This window comes from Homo sapiens, chromosome 17 (genome assembly GCF_000001405.40).
Source record: "Homo sapiens chromosome 17, GRCh38.p14 Primary Assembly".
Lineage (NCBI taxonomy): Eukaryota > Metazoa > Chordata > Mammalia > Primates > Hominidae > Homo > Homo sapiens.
This window is the reverse complement of record NC_000017.11, coordinates 49809628-49825650: the sequence shown is the minus strand read 5'-3', so window position 1 is coordinate 49825650 and position 16023 is coordinate 49809628. Positions and strand designations below refer to the sequence as shown.

General features: G+C 41.1%; 1 protein-coding gene across 6 annotated transcripts in view, besides 1 other annotated feature; it reads right to left on the bottom strand.

Moving 5' to 3' along the window:
- KAT7 (lysine acetyltransferase 7) overlaps positions 1–16023 on the bottom strand; it is a 46346-nt gene that overhangs the window by 9376 nt on the left and 20947 nt on the right. For all 6 annotated transcript variants that reach the window (NM_007067.5, NM_001199155.2, NM_001346706.2 and 3 more), the window contains 6 exons: positions 14077–14175; positions 9738–9848; positions 7640–7831; positions 4225–4314; positions 3861–4001; positions 2356–2449 (listed from right to left, as the gene is read on the bottom strand). In NM_007067.5, coding sequence (NP_008998.1) covers positions 2356–2449; positions 3861–4001; positions 4225–4314; positions 7640–7831; positions 9738–9848; positions 14077–14175 — 727 coding nt within the window. The remainder of the gene's footprint in view (positions 1–2355; positions 2450–3860; positions 4002–4224; positions 4315–7639; positions 7832–9737; positions 9849–14076; positions 14176–16023) is intronic.
- Positions 8982–9974: an enhancer, noted in NCBI's record as "OCT4-NANOG-H3K27ac hESC enhancer chr17:47893039-47894031 (GRCh37/hg19 assembly coordinates)". NCBI's record gives its function as "activates a minimal SCP1, AML or CMV promoter by ChIP-STARR-seq in primed H9 embryonic stem cells {active_cell/tissue: H9 hESC(primed)}" and the evidence as "EXISTENCE:reporter gene assay evidence [ECO:0000049][PMID:30033119]".

The following is a 16023-nucleotide window of genomic DNA, read 5'->3' as shown; positions in this document are numbered from 1 at the left end:
GAACAGGAAGAGAGTAATAGTAAAACAGAACAATTATAACAATATACTGTAATAAAAGTTATGTGAAGGTTGTCTGTCTCTCAAAATATCTTATTGTACTGTACTCACCTATTTTTGGACCGCAGTTGACTACAGGTAATTGAAACTGCAGAAAGTGAAATGGCAGATAAGGAGGGCACTACTGTAATAGGCACTAAAAGAACTCTGGAAGCCTTCACCATTATTTTGATAATGAATCTCTGTAGGTGTGTGTTGGAAACAAGGGAGATGAGAAACAAAAATGTGAAGCCACTTCACTACCTAGTTTTTAAGTATTTTTTAAATCTTTGAATGGTAAGAACAGATTAGCTCAGTACCACCTATGAGATAGTGCGGGGTGTAAAAAACCCAAATGATGAAGCCTCTAGTTGTAAAGTCTAAACACCTAACATTCAATTTATACAAAATATATAAAACAACACTATGGAGATGCAGTGTGCAAAGTTCATAATCTGGGGAACCCTTTTAGACAACTAACCTGCTTTCTTCAACAAAAACACAGCAAGAAAAAAATGATGGGAGTGGAAAGTTTTAGACTAAAAGTGAATTATGAGCCACATTTCTCAATCCCACTATCAATTCTACCTGGATCTGAGTATTAAAAAAATAAAAATAAAAAAAAGAACAAAATCACACCAGGGAAATTTGAATATCACAATTTATGACATGAAGGACTTTTTTTTTTAAGGTGTAATAGACCTTATCTTTTAGAGATACCAAAATAATGGCAAGTGAAAATGTAGGTAAAACAAGATTAGCCCCCCAAAAAACGGTAATTACTGAAGCTGGGTGATGGGTATAGAAGCATTTATTATACTTTTGTTAATGCTTAAAAATTTCTATAAAATCAAGTTTATAAGAACAGTGTTACCTATTCAAAGATATATAGTTCCCCTCTTATGTCACTTCCCAGTTCATCTCTTCTCAGGTGACTTAAAAATGAAAGAAGGTGGCCGGGCAAGGTGGCTCACGCCTGTAATTCCAGCACTCTGGGAGGCTGAGGTGGGCGGATCACCTGAGCTCGGGAGTTCGAGACCAGCCTGACCAACATGGAGAAACTCCGTCTCCACTAAAAAAATACAAAATTAGCTGGGCGTGGTGGCACATGCCTGTAATCCCAGCTACTCGTGAGGCTGAGGCAGTAGAATTGCCTGAACCCGGGAGACGGAGGTTGCAGTGAGCCAACATTGGGCCATTGTGCTCCAGCCTGGGCAACAAGAGCAAAATTCCGTCTCAAAAAAGAAAGAAAGAAAGAAAGAAGGCTTGGAAGGCTAATTCTAGGAATTCCAATTTTGATTACAATATACCCTGTCCTATGACAGTGGACATCAAATATAGAATAACACACAGTAGAGTCTTGTTATTCACAGCAGTTATGTTTTATAAAGTCACTGAGAACCTGAATTAGTGAATATTGAACCACTACTCCTACGGGAAATACAGGGAGGGTTAGGTTCCTGCAAGCCTCTGGTCACATATTGGTCAACCATCAATACATAAACTTATTTTATGTTTCTGTTTAAAAATGCCTTATTTAATATACACTGTTGATATCATTAACATTGAACTCACTGCCAGCAACTCTCTAATTCACCTGAAGAAAGCTACCTAACCCCTGTAAGGTACCCCAGGTATTCCTGAGATTAGGAACACCAGACACATCAGTACTACTCATAGGGGCCATTTAAAATCAACAGAAGGCGAAAACCATGTGGCATTCCCAGACTGAAAATGAACTTGTTTACAGTGTAAGAGCTGAAAACTCTGAAGTCAGCTGGGAATGTGTGCATCCATGACTCTTACTTTTTGCTGCTCTGTGCATGTTCACGAATGACCACAAAAATGTTAAGATTGATTTTGGGGTTACAAATAAAATTTAGTGAGTAAGCAAATTCACAAAGACAGAATCCACAATTAATGAGGGCAGAGTATATTATGCACAGGGTCCATTGGGTACATGGATTACCTCTAGACAAGTCCCTACAAAAGTGAAATCCCTAGCATCAAGGACCAGATTTTAAGCCTCATGCATGTATGTGCTGTTTAAAAGTCTCAAACTGGGATAATCCTAAAGAGCTTACTTTATCATCCTCTGTACCTCCTACTCATTAAGGAGGAGTCCTGTACTCCTTCAATGTTCAATGTGTATTAGGCAGAATGACAATGTTCAGGTTTTTCCTACTTGTTCATTCATTTACTAAATATCCATGTACCTTCACTATATTCCAGGAATTGCAGAGACCACAGGACAAAAAGACAAACAATATTCACATGGTCCCTGCCTTGTGGAACTAATGACTTAGCAGTTTCACTTACTGAAATCAATAAGCATCTTGCCATAGCCCTGTCTCATGTACTGAGGCATAGTAAGGATACAGGAGACGTTGTAGTTGAGGAATGAATTCTTTTCCTAAAATCAAGAGCAAACAGATGAACACGTCATGAGGATTTGAAACCAAAGGTTTCAGCACTTCCACAGATGCAAAATAAGGCTGCTTGCAAAACATCTGGCTAACCAGTCCCAAGGAGTGGCTGCCAGGCTCACAGCTGTTATAACCACACCCTTTATCATGGCCAAAGCCATTAATCATCCCAGGATTTCCCTAGTTGAGACCTCCAGTGTCATTTTAAGGAGGCTGACTCTGGGCTCCTGACAGCCACAGAGTAGGGCAAGAAGTTTAAGACTGCTGACTCAGTATATAGAAGCCCACTTTAAACGCAATTTTTGAAAAGGAGCTGCCTACTGGAAGAGAAGGGAAGGAAACACCACTGTAAGTCCCCATTCTGCAAAGGGATTAAAAAAAAAATCACATTGAATCAAATCAAAATGTGTGATTCCACTTGTAGGAAACGTCCAAAATAGGGAAATTTATAGAGAAAGAAGAACTGAGAGGGATTGAGTAGAAATAGGAGTGATTGCTATCAATTTCTTTTCAGGATAATGCAAACTGGGTTGATTGCACAACTCTGTGAATACACTATAAACCACTAAATTGTACCCTTTCAGTGCGTGAATTTATGGTATATGAATTATATTTCAATAAAGTTGTTATACTAAAAGTCATAAACTTTTATGACTTAGGCCGGGCGCAATGGCTCACACCTGTAATCCTAGCACTTTAGGAGGCTAAGGCGAGTGGATTACTTGAGGTCAGGAGTTCGAGACCAGCCTGGCCAACATGGTAAAACACCATCTCTACTAAAATCACACAAAAAATTAGCTGGGCGTGGTGGCAGGCGCCTGTTATCCCAGCTACTCAGGAGGCTGAGGCAGGAGGGTCACTTGAACCTGGGAGGCAGAGGGTGCAGTGAGTCAAGGTCATACCTCTGTACTCCAGCCTGGGCAACAGAGTGAGACTCTGTCAGAAAAAAAAAAAAAATCTGGCCTTGGGTCTTTAAAAGGCGCAGTAGTGTTATCACTGAAGGCACTGTGCTAGAAGGAGCCCAGCTAAACAATCAGGCAAAAAGAGTATATTCCTGGTTTTAAGCTAATAACATAGAGGCAGGCAAAGCCAGCAGAACTGGTTTGACTACAAGATGTGGGCTTGTGAGTTACTAGGGAGGGCTCTGGCCAGTTATTAATAGGCAGCTCCAGTCCACAATTCTAGAAATGAATGAACCAGAAGCTTTTAATAAAAACTGCATTTTCATTAAACAATCTTTGATACATGGGTTTGCCTTTTTTTTTTTTTTAATTTAAGGAAGGGGTGTCATCATTGCCCAGAGTACAGCTTCTTCCTGTCAGTGATTTGAGCCCCCAACTGCGAACATGGATCACCCTGCTCTGGCCATTGGCTTCTTAATCTCCAGATCCTGCTTACCTTAGAAAAATATCCAATCAGGTGACAGCCAGTGTTGTCCGCCTCTGTCATAACATAGAACAGGAAGGGCTCCACATCATAATATAATGTCTTGTGGTCCAGAAAAAGTTTGGCCAACAGGCACAGGTTTTGGCAGTAGATCTGGAAGCAGAGAAACAGAGTTCATGTGTGGGCCACTGATTCCTAAACAGATAAAGGCCTAAAATTCACAAACATACCATAATTATTAATGAAACACATTGTGTATTTTGGCAAGAGAAGAGTTCTATGTCCTTCACAAGGTGTGATGGAGAAAAAACATATGCCTTCTGAAACCTGTGAATATACAACATTTCAACTCCTTTCTAAAGTCACCACTTTTTACCTTGTTTTTCTTGCCATCCACTTCAAACACAGAGATTGAACCTTTGCGATATATCTCATCACCAGGTGGGTGTTTCCACACACATTTGGCCTGCAAGACAATGAAATTCACATCAGGGAACCAAAGCCTCCCAACAAGACTGCTCCTCAAAAGGGAAAAGGAATGACAGGTCAAATGTGGTTAACTGAGCTACCGGACAGTTGGACAAGCTGAGAACATACAGCAAAACAGAGATTTTATTTCCATAAAACAAAGGCTTCCAAAGTCATTTGAATATATTTATGACACTTTTATAGCAATCTGGAACAAGTATTCTGGATTACATTCTGGCACTACTTTAGCCCAGGAGATTAAAATCACCCACTACATAAAGGCCAAATAAATAACAATACGCTTGCTTATTACCAAATGCCTCAAGCCAACAGGAAATTCTTAAGCAGCTTATTTCCAGCAGCTTAGGGTGGCTAAGTACTTTACTCTCACCTTTACCCATAACTTCTCATTACCACCTAACCATGATGGCCTTCTTTGTTCAGATTAGAAAACCCACTCACAATGATAAAAACCATGTACCACTACCTGTCTGCCCTTCTCCCCTGCAAGTGCATTCCCTTTGTTATATAAGGAAATTAAGAGAAAGTCCTGTGGCAAAAAAAGAAAAAAAAAAAAAAAAAAAAAAGGCAAGCAGCCTAGCTGAGCAGCAGGAAGCTAGGGTCACTTGGCCACAAGGGAGCACAAAGTACCCCCTTTTCCTCACCCTCAAGTGCTTACTGTTTTAATGCAGCCAGCCAGCCAGCCATCTGCTGTTAGGTGAATTCTTCAAAAGGTTTACATTTTAAAATGTTTAAGGCCTGATGCGGTGGCTCACGCCTGTAATCCCAGCACTTTGGGAGGCTGAGGTGGGCAGATCACCTGAGGTCAGGAGTTTGACAGCAGCCTGGCCAACATGGTGAAACCCCGTCTCTACTAAAAATACAAATATTAGCCAGGTGTGGCAGCGGGGGCCTGTAATCCCAGCTACTCTGGAGGCTGAGGCAGAAGAATCCGGGAGGTGGAGGCTGCAGTGAGCCGACATTGCACCACTGCACTCCAGCCTAAGTGACAGAGCGAGACTCTGTCTCAAAAAAAAAAAAGAAAAAAGTGTTTAAAAAGTATAGACGTATAAAAAAAAGTTTTTTTTTTTGAGATAGGGTGTCACTCTGTCACCCAGGCTGAAATAGCACGATCATAGCTCACTGCAGCCTCGAACTCCTGGGCTCAAAAGATCCTCCCATGTAGCTAAGATTATAGGCGCATGGCGCCATGCCTGGTTAGTTAATTTTTCAAAAGGGTTTTGAAGCAACAGAGTCTCACTATTTTGCCCAGGCTGGTCTCAAATTCCTGGCCTCAAGCAATCCTCCCACTTCAGCCTCCCAAAGTGCTGGGATTACAGGTATGAGCCACCGCACCTGGCCCATGAAACACTTTCTATTAAGCAAATTTACTGCAACTCTTTTTGTCAACTCAAGAAGCATGTTCCAATTTGTCATATGTAAATCCAAATATTTATTAACTGGAATCCATCCAAGAAAATTCCATCTGTAGTTTGTTCCTATCTCTACCCCTTTACTCATGCTGGCTCTTCCCAACAATAACCAAACTCATGTAACAATTATTATTTGTTCAGAAACAGAAGCCAAGCCAAAGGAAGATCATTTCATTTCAGTGATCACACCTGAAGCAACGGGAATAAGAACAGGCATGGAATAAATTAGGTATTTCCTGAAATCTGATTTTTATATCATATAATATGGAAGATTTTCAAATATTCAGAATGTTTATTTGATTCTCAGATTTATTCAGACTCTTTGTTTTCTCCTTCTATTACTATTTCTTGCCCTTTTGGCTATTTCATTGGTTTGTGTCACTCAACAACCAGAAACGAAAAGGAAAAAAGGCATAAATGGTAAGCAGTTCACATCAATAAAAATACCCGCTTTCACACAGTAAAACCATTTTACTTTATCTCCACGGCCTGCCATCTGTATCAGTGCCCCACCTTCTGACCCCATTATTTCCTGTGCACTGATATTTCTACCAATCGCCGCCAATCACCTCCCCTCCATGACTCTAGCCCTATGCAGTCAAGTGTGCCAGGGTCTGGAGAACCTGAGTCAAAGCAACAGTTCTGGGCCCTGAACTTACAGACCACATGCTCCTGAACTGGGAACATAAAAAAGCAGTTATCACCAACCAAACTGGGGAGAAGAGTATAATGACAGAAATCACAGGAAACCTGGGTCATAGATGCTCAACATATGGAAATCCTGGGAAATAAAAAAGGAAGGGGAAGGAAAAAGAGACACCCCAGAGGCCTTAGAGCCAAATTATATTGTGATTATGAGAACAAGGGCTGGGCACAGTGGCTCATGCCTGTAATCCCAGCACTTTGGGAAGCTGAGGTGGGTGGATCATGAGGTCAGGAGATCAAGACCATCCTGGTCAATATGGTGAAACCCTGTCTCTACTAAAAATACAAAAATCAGCCAGGTGTGGTGGTGTGCGACTGTAGTCCCAGGTACTCAGGAGGCTGAGGCAGGAGAATCGTTTGAATCTGGGAGGCGGAGGTTGCAGTGAGCCAAGATCGCGCCACTGCACTCCAGCCTGGTCAACAGAGCAAGACTCCCTCTCAAAAAAAAAAAAAACAAGAAAAAGTCTTCTCTGCCTGAAAGGCTAATCTCTACTCCTTCCCCTGTTCCGCACCCTTGCTCCATGGCAGAAATTCCCCTTAAGACAAAGCTTATTCTGTAACAGAGCGGGGGAAAAATGGCTTTTTTTTTGAAGCTGCAAAAAATCTAGTAAACCTATTTGTCAACAATAACAGATTCAACTCCTTATACCTGTTTTATTAGGAAAAAGAGGGGAAGGCACCAAAGGACCCACTCTGCTACTTTCATAATCTGTCACAGGCTGATCACTATTAAATATTAATAAGTACCCATTCAACATATACTTCTTGGGCATCAGTTGTCCACACTAGTTGCTAGGGATATGAAGGTGAGCCATGCTGTCTCTGCTGTGCCTAATGAAGTCTGTATTTTCATCTAGTTTGGGACACACAAAACCTGTGGGCAGAGGTAATTCATATTCCAAGGAGGAAATGAAGAGCAGTAGGCAGCAAGAACAAAAGACAAGAAGATGTACATGACAGGATGTGGGTAAGGGCCCTCAGCTGCTTTGGGTGGCACCCAGCACAAGCCATACCTCAGGCTCTATACCCCGCCTTAAGCTGTGGCCTGTCATTTCCTATGCCTTCATCCCACTGCTGAGGACCACTGAGAAGGTGCCTGAACAGATGCCATCGCTATGGCAAAATCTAGAGATCCTACAGCTTATTGCCATCATGGTCAAGGCAGAGGAACCCAAGACAACTCACCATGTGCCGGCGGAGTATCGTTTGGCTCTTCATATATTTTAAACAGAATTCACACATATAGAGACGTCCCAGCCGTGCATATTCTTCAGGATATGGAGAATGATACCAGGTATCAAGCTCATAGCGGCCAAAAGCAATTGTTTTAATCATGTTGCTTCCCTCTGTGATTTGGCCTTGCAGCCTTAACTTCTCCTATTGCCAAGAAATCAAAAGTCAAAGGAGGATCAGAATTTATTATCTTTGCTTTTAGACAGGGCACAGTGGCTCCTGTAATCCCAACACTTTGGGAGGCTGAGGCAGGCAGGTCACTTAAGGCCAGGAGTTCGAGACCAGCCTGGCCGAAATGGCAAAACCCCATCTCTACTAAAAATACAACAATTAGCAAGGTGTGGTGGCAAACAATTGTAATCCCAGCTACTTGGGAGGCTAAGGCAGAAGAATCGCCCAAGAGGCAGAGGCTGCGGTGAACCGAGATCGCACTACTGCACTCCAGCCTGGGAGACAGAGCGAAACTCCTTTTTAAAAAAATAAATATTATCTTTGTTTTTAAAAGTGTGTGTGCATGCCACCACGCTAGGCTATGAAAAAAATCAGACAGATTTGGCTTCTATCCATGAGAATTTACACTAAAGAGAGCTACATGAAAAATCACACAGGTGTACAGAAAACTTACTACCCATACTGCCCAGAGCACAGGTCTCAAAAGAGAGGTTTCTCTGCTACCTCCCACATTCTGGGCCTCACCAGAATGATACCTTGGAAACTTCATTTTTATCAGCCTAGACCAAACTGAATTATAAAGAAAATCATCACAGATACAAACTCCCCACCCTTATAAAGTATTCTAAAACTAAACAAAAAACTTGATTTAGAATCTGCCTTACTTATCTGCAGAAGCTTTTATAAAGCTATATGAATCTCCGTGAAATATATCCACAATGGTCACTTAGAAAAAAAAACAGGCCCTTTAAAAAATATTTTTGAAATGTGCATGATAATTCTAGAATCTAAACTCTAGAAGGCAGAAAATATTTCTGGGATGGGTGTAGTGGCATGCCTGTAGTCCCAGCTACTCAGGAGGCTGACGTGGGAGAATCGCTTGAGCACTGAAGGTCGAGGCTGCAGTGAGCCATGATGGCACCACTGCACTCCAGTTTGGGCAACAGGGCAAAACCCTGTCTCAGAAAAAAAAAAAATTCGGATATCCATCTCCATTCAGTGGCTCTGAGTTGGCTACAAAAGTATAATTTGTAAGCATAACCAGGTGTAAAGTTGTAAAAGGCTAGCCCAGGAAATGCTCCATGCCAGAATAGGATAGAGAAAACCAGCAGCAGTAACAGCCCATCCCAGCCAAGGGTAGCCAGCAAACCCTGCCTCTGCCAAGTTTTCAACAAGTCTAGTATTTGATACAATTTTTTTTTAATACAAGGGGGAAGGGGGTGAAGACGAGATTCACTTTAAAACTGAGCTTCCCTGAACACATTTAATCTGTTATATCAGAGGTAAACTCAATCACCAGAATTTTCTTCAAGCAAAGTTGTTAAAAATTCTGCCTAGGACAGCAACTCAGTATAAACTAGCTCTAAATAAATATCAGAATGGAAAACCAATGTATCAAACTTGGCTGTGTCAAAGATTAATTCTAAAACATCTGACAACAGCCTTTTCCATTATTCCTCTTCACTGTTATTTTCATTCTTAGTGCAGAGGAAACCTAGCAAAAGGGGAGTTCCTGTTGGGATTAAGAAAACAACAGAGATGAGTCTCTCCTAGGCTACAGGTTCTCAGAATTGCAAATTGCCCAGCTGAGACAAAGGGGCGCCTATGGTTTTATCCAGCCTCATCAGCTCTAGCCAAACTGGTACTTCCGGGAGCCGAGGTGGAAAGCAGGGAATAAAAAAAGGAAGGGAGGAGGGGTGATTCATTTTAAATCTGAAAGGGAAGGCTAGTCTCCAAAAAGGGACAGCTGGGAGACAGGGAAAGAGATTCCAGAAGCAAGGTACATTTAATTCCCATCAAACTGATTTGCAATCATTTTTCCTGGCAACTCTAAGCACCTTTCACAAGCGGCCTTCAGTTTGGAGGTTTTAATACTCACCAAATCCTCTGAAGCCCGGGCTTGTGCTCTTCGGAAAAGATCCAAGTCATACTCGCTTGTCAGGTTTTCTAAAAGAGGTTCCCGTGTGTTCCCATAGGTCTGTCTGTGTTCCTAGGAAAATAACCAGAGCGTGATACTCTGATACTCTCTGCTTCTAAGAACTTTTTAATCTATTTCATTTCAATCCATGCAAACCACACAACCATAAGCTATTTATTTAGTGCCTACATACTAGGTGCTAGGGATTGAGCACAAGACATACTACTTATCAGGTTAATGCCACAAGACTCCCACTACCCACCCCAGTGATTCTGGAGAGGAAATGCTCCCACAGCTCCAGAAGGGAGCTTCATTCTTCTATCTCTGAAAAGATACACTTTGTGGATCAGAACGCTGTTCCTTCATGTAAAAATTTACATGACAGTACAAATAAATAAAGTACAACAAACCCAGAGACACTACAAATTCCCAGAATCCTGAGATTTGGAAGGAGCTTTGGTAGATACTCCCCGATTTAAAAACAAAACAAACAAAAACCAGATTTTCTAAGCCTTAGTGTCTAAGATTTTAGACTCAAAAGAAAATCTGCAGGAAGGGAGGGGCAGGGGCAGCTGGATGAAGCAGTCCTTTGTAACTTCTTTCACTTGAATTGCTCCAGCCACCATTATGCTGTCTGCAAAAGGCGTGCTACCCTCAAACTCCAGTCCACATACACAGAAAAATAGGCTGGACTCTCTAAAAATGACTTACTAAATATTAAGCAAGAATAAGACAGGTGAAAGCCATAGAAAATTAAAAGCATGAGAATAATCCAGTCTTAAATAATTCCCTAATCTTACCATGGCAGTCACTACAAGAATCCTTTCCAGGAAAGAGATTCTACAAAGGAAACTTCCCTTTTAAGCCTTTGATTTCAGCCCTTCCCACTCTGTTGTAGGCTCCACCTCCCATCCAGAGAATAGGAGATAATGGTAGTTAAGTGGAGTGGATGGCTTATCTCAGGAAAACATTATAGATTTCACACACATATTACCATATGAAGAGACCATTCATCAGTATCTTTATCCCTATTAAAATTTCTTCCGGTTAATCTGATTCCATCTGCTGTGAATCTTTTTAAATTTGGACTCTATCATCTAAGATTTGGGTTCTACGCATTAGTTATTTCTTCTATTTTGAGGAACACTGGAAAAAAAAAAGCTTGAAAAAAGTCCTAGCCAGCATTTTAATCAAGGAGGTTGGGTCCTAATAACCTATCCCAAATTACTAAAAAGCAGAGCAGATGTTTGTTAAGGTTAAAAATTTCAAGAACTTTTACTTCAGACACTCTTTCTGCCTGTATGATTTTAGGTAAGTTACCTCTCTCAGTCTTAGTTTTCCTGTATATAAAATATGGGAAATATCACCAATCATACTGGACTGTTAAAAGATCAAAGGAACGTCACAATCACAGTGCCTAGCACTAATCACTCAATATACGGTATCATTGTCTTATTACCCTTCTAACAAGTTTGCAGATGGAAACAGTGAACAAGACTGGGGCAAGCAAACAATCTGGTACCCTATAGCCCACTACTAAAGCCCTCACTGTACAAACCAACACAGTCTGGTGTAAAGGTCTAACTACAAATTCACCCCACAACCCATCTTACATTGGCCTATGTCCATGTATTCATAAAATTAGCATTTAAGACAGTGATGACTGTCAAAAAAGTAAATACAGGCCAGGTGTGCTGGCTCACACCTGTAATCCTAGCACCTTGGGAGGCCGAAGTGGGCAAATCACTTGAGGTCAGGAGTTTGAGACCAGCCTGGGCAACATGGTAAAACCCTGTCTCTACTAAAATTACAAAAATCAGCTGGGTGTGGTGGCCCACACCTATTATTCCAGCTACTCAGGAGGCTGAGGCAGGAGAATTGCTTGAACCCAGAACCCAGGAGGCAGAGGTTGCAGTGAGCTGTGATTGCACCACTGCTGCACTCCAGCCTGGGTGACAGAGTGAGACTCTGTCTCAAAAACTCCGCCTCAAAAAAAAAAAAAAGGAAATACAGTCATCTCTTGATATCCCTGGGGGACCAGTTCCAGGAACGCCCCCACAACCTCCCTGCATATAACAAAATCCATGGATGCTCAAGTCTCGTATGTAAATGATGTCATATTTGCATATAACCTGGGCACATCCAGCAGTATACTTTAAGTCATCTCTAGATTACTTATAATGTGATGTCAATGCCATGTAAATAGCTGTTAACACTACTATTTCAGAAATAATGACAAGAAAAAGTCTGTACACATTCAGTACAAACCACATTTTTTTCCCGGAATATTTCCGATCCGTGGTTGGTTGAATCCACAGGAACAAAATCCATGGATACGAAGGGTCAACTATGCATAGTCTGGCATATTTTTGTCTTAGTGAAGCCATGCTCTGACTAAGTATTCACATGCCCTATGTTTAAGAATCTATCCCAATGGCTGAATAAGAAAACATTCCAATTCTATGAAAAAAACTAAAATGTCAGAAAAAAATCTAAAAGAGCAGCCATAAAAAAGAATGAAATCATGTCCTTTGCAGCGACATGGATGCAACTGGAGGCCATTATCTTAAGCAAATTAACACAAAAACAGAAAACCAAACACAGCATGTTCTCACTTATAAGTGGGAGCTAACCACTGGGTACAGAGGGACACAAAGAAGGGAACAATAAACACTGAGGATTCCAAGAGTGGGGAGGCGGACAAGGGTTGAAAAACTACCTATCACTATGTTCACTACTTGGGTGACAGGATAAGATCATTAGAAGCCTAAATCTGAGCATCACACAATAGATCTATGTAACAAACCTGCACATGTACACCCTTATCTAAAATTTAAAATAAATAAATTTAAAAAAAAAAAAAAAAAAAAAAAAGGCTGGGTGCAGTGGCTCATGCCTATAATCCCAGCACTTCGGGAGGCCGAGGCGGGTGGATCACGAGGTCAGGAGTTCAAGACCAGCCTGGCCAACATGGTGAAACCCCATCTCTACTAAAAATACAAAAATTAGCCGGGTGTGGTGGTGGGCGCCTGTAATCCCAGCTACTTGGGAGGCTGAGGCAGAGAACTGCTTGAACCCAGGAGGCAGAGGTTACAGTGAGCCAAGATCGCACCACTGCACTCCAGCCTCCAGCCTTCAGCCTTGGTGACAGAGCAAGACTCTGTCTCAAAAAGAAAGAAAAAGAAAAAGACTGTGAAAGAACACACATCAAAATGTTAAGCAGTGGTTTGTATCTTGAAGGACAATTTTTTTTTATTGGAATGTTTCTTCTCTATATTTTTGGTATTTTCAGTAGTAAGCATGTATTAATACATTTATAATAAAATCTTTTCCTAAAAAAAGATGTTTAAGGCCGGGCATGGTGGCTCACGCCTGTAATCCCAACACTTTGGGAGGCCGAGGTGGGCAGATTACCTGAGGTCAGGAGTTCGAGACCAGCCTGGCCAACATGGTAAAACCCCGTCTCTACTAAAAATACACAAATTAGCTGGGCGTGGTGGCACATGTCTGTAATCCTAGCTACTCGGGAGGCTGAGGCGGGAGAATTACTTGAGCCCAGGAGGCAGAGGTTGTAGTGAGCCGAGATTGTGCCACTGCACTCCAGCCTGGCCGACTGTCTCAAAAAAAAAAAAAAAAAAAAGATTTTTAAGCGAAAACACAGAATTCAAAGTGCTACATACAGTAAGAAGGTAATTATGTAAATAAGAGATTGTGAAAAAGCTAGGATATATCCAAAAACACTAACTGTGGCTATTTTTAGGTAGTAGGATTTGTTTTCTTCCATATACTTTGCTTAATCACTCTAAATTCTCTTACAAATGTACATTACTTCTAAAGTTAGAAAAAAATGTTAAAATACTACAAGAAGGTCTATTACAGAATATTCACCCAATTAATACCTTTTAATCATGGAGGAAATCTATTTTTCCATTAAAATAAGCAGACTACTATTAAGCTTGAATATTTTTCTTCATACAGACATTTCCAGTGCCATGGCATGTGTTCTAGCGGGTAAATTTAACCCTTTAAGATGAAAGTAAAATTTATGAACAACTAGAGGATCAAATTTTTTAAAATTTAAATTCTAATTGTATTTCATTTTCCCAAGACCTCCTGTTTCCACTCTCAACAATTCAGTTTTGGGGGATGAAATAAACTCTAAGTGCCATAGAAGAGTCAATTGGTATTCACATGTGGAGAATACTAAATGGCAAATCTGAAAGGCAGAAGCTCAGAAAGCAAAAGGAATCAAATGTGATAGCAGGAGTTCATGCTCATTAAATATTTAACTTTCCCTCACCATATATTTCTCTTTCTGTTCTTTGCTCAGTCCAGAATTTCTTTTCTTCCTGAGTTCAGCCACTTTTTCCTTATATCGAAGCTGTCTCTCCGTTGGTGCCTAAAAGGAAAAAGGAGAAAACTGAGAGAAAACTCCTTATAAAGCTAAGCTTCAAAATGAAAGTGCCAAGGCCCGGCACAGTAGCTCACGCCTGTAATCTCAGCACTTTGGGAGGCCAAGGCAGGCAGACCACCTGAGATCAGGAGTTCAAGACCAGCCTGGACAACATGGTGAATCCTCATCTCTATTAAAAATACAAAAATTAGCCAGGCATGGTGGTGCACGCCTGTAATCCCAGCTACTCGGGAGGCTGAGGTGGGAGAATCACCTGAACCTGGGAGGCAGAGGTTGCAGTGAGCCAGTCATGCCACTGCACTCCAGCCTGGGAGACAGAGCGAGACTCTGGCACAAAAACAAAAAAAAAAAAGAAGGTACCAAAACATGTAAAAAAATTTTAAAGAGAAAAAAATGCCAGAAATTTTCTAGCCACAATGCAAATCATATGGCAATTTTATTTTATTCATTTGTATTATTTTTGAGGCAGGGTCTCGCTCTGTCACCTAGGCTGAAATGCAGCGGCACGATCGCGGCTCACTGCAACCTCTACCTCCTGTGCTCAAGCCATCCTCCTGCCTCAGTCTTCCATGTAACTGGGACTACAGGTGTACACCACCACGCCCAGCTAAATTTTTCATGAATATGGCAATTTAAAAATTCCAAATCAGGTTCTCATCACCCACCACCTTTACTGCCAGTTAAATATAGGTTCAGGAATACAAACTTATTTTACTACTAACATAAACTAAGGATAGACGTCTCCACCAAAGCAACAAGAATAAAATTAAGATCATTTCAACTAATCATTTATAGAATGCTTACTGTTTTCCAATTAATGCTTATTGATCTGATCAACAGTGGTACAAAAATTCATTTATATGTATTAATTTAAATAGAAAAACTGAATAAGAATAAAACCCAAGGTTGGGCACCGTGGCTCATGCTTATAATCCCAGCACTTTGGGAGGCCAAGGCAGGTGGATTACTGGAGGTCAGGAGTTTAAGACCAGCCTGGCCAACATGGTGAAACCCTGTCTCTACTAAAAATACAAAAATTAGCTGGGCGTGGTGGCGTGCCCCTGTAATCCCAGCTACTTGGGAGACTGAGGCAAGAGAATCACTTGAACCTGGGAGATGGAGGTTGCAGTGAGCTGAGATCACACCACTGCACTCCAGCCGGGGCAAAAAGAGTGAAACTCTGTCTAAAAAATAAATAAATTAAATTAAATTAAACCTAAGATAGACAACGAAGAAAAGTGTAGTTACCACTTATGGAGTGCTTTTTACCTGCCAAGCACTGGGTATAGGTACTTTACATACATAATTTAGCTGACTCCCCTGCCAGGTAGGCATTATTCACCTCTTCTTATTAACAAAGAAATAGGTTAGTTGACCTGCCCGGGACAACATAGCTAGAGTTAAATAATCAGTATTCAAATTCACATCTGTTTGGCTCCAAAGTCAAACTTCTTCCTCATCACCATATATCTCTGCTATCCAACTATAATCTAACTGCAAAAACAGACACCTAAATGATGAACAAAATATAATATGTCACAAAGGCTAACATTTTGAGAGCACTACAATGGGAATACATAAGGAAGAAATTCCTTAACGGTGGGAGAGAATTTGGGAAAAATTCCTCCAACAGCTGAGAACTGCACGGGCCTTGAAAGAAAATACCATCTGTTCTTGGTACAGGTATAGCGTTCCAGGCAGGAAAACAGGAAGAGTGAAGACCAAAGGCATTTAGGGAAGAACAAGGAAGTAAGTGAACCAATGTGGCAGGAATGTTCAGAGAGGCAGGAGGAGGTTTAGGACCAAGCCAGGATGCTCCCTACAAACCAAGGG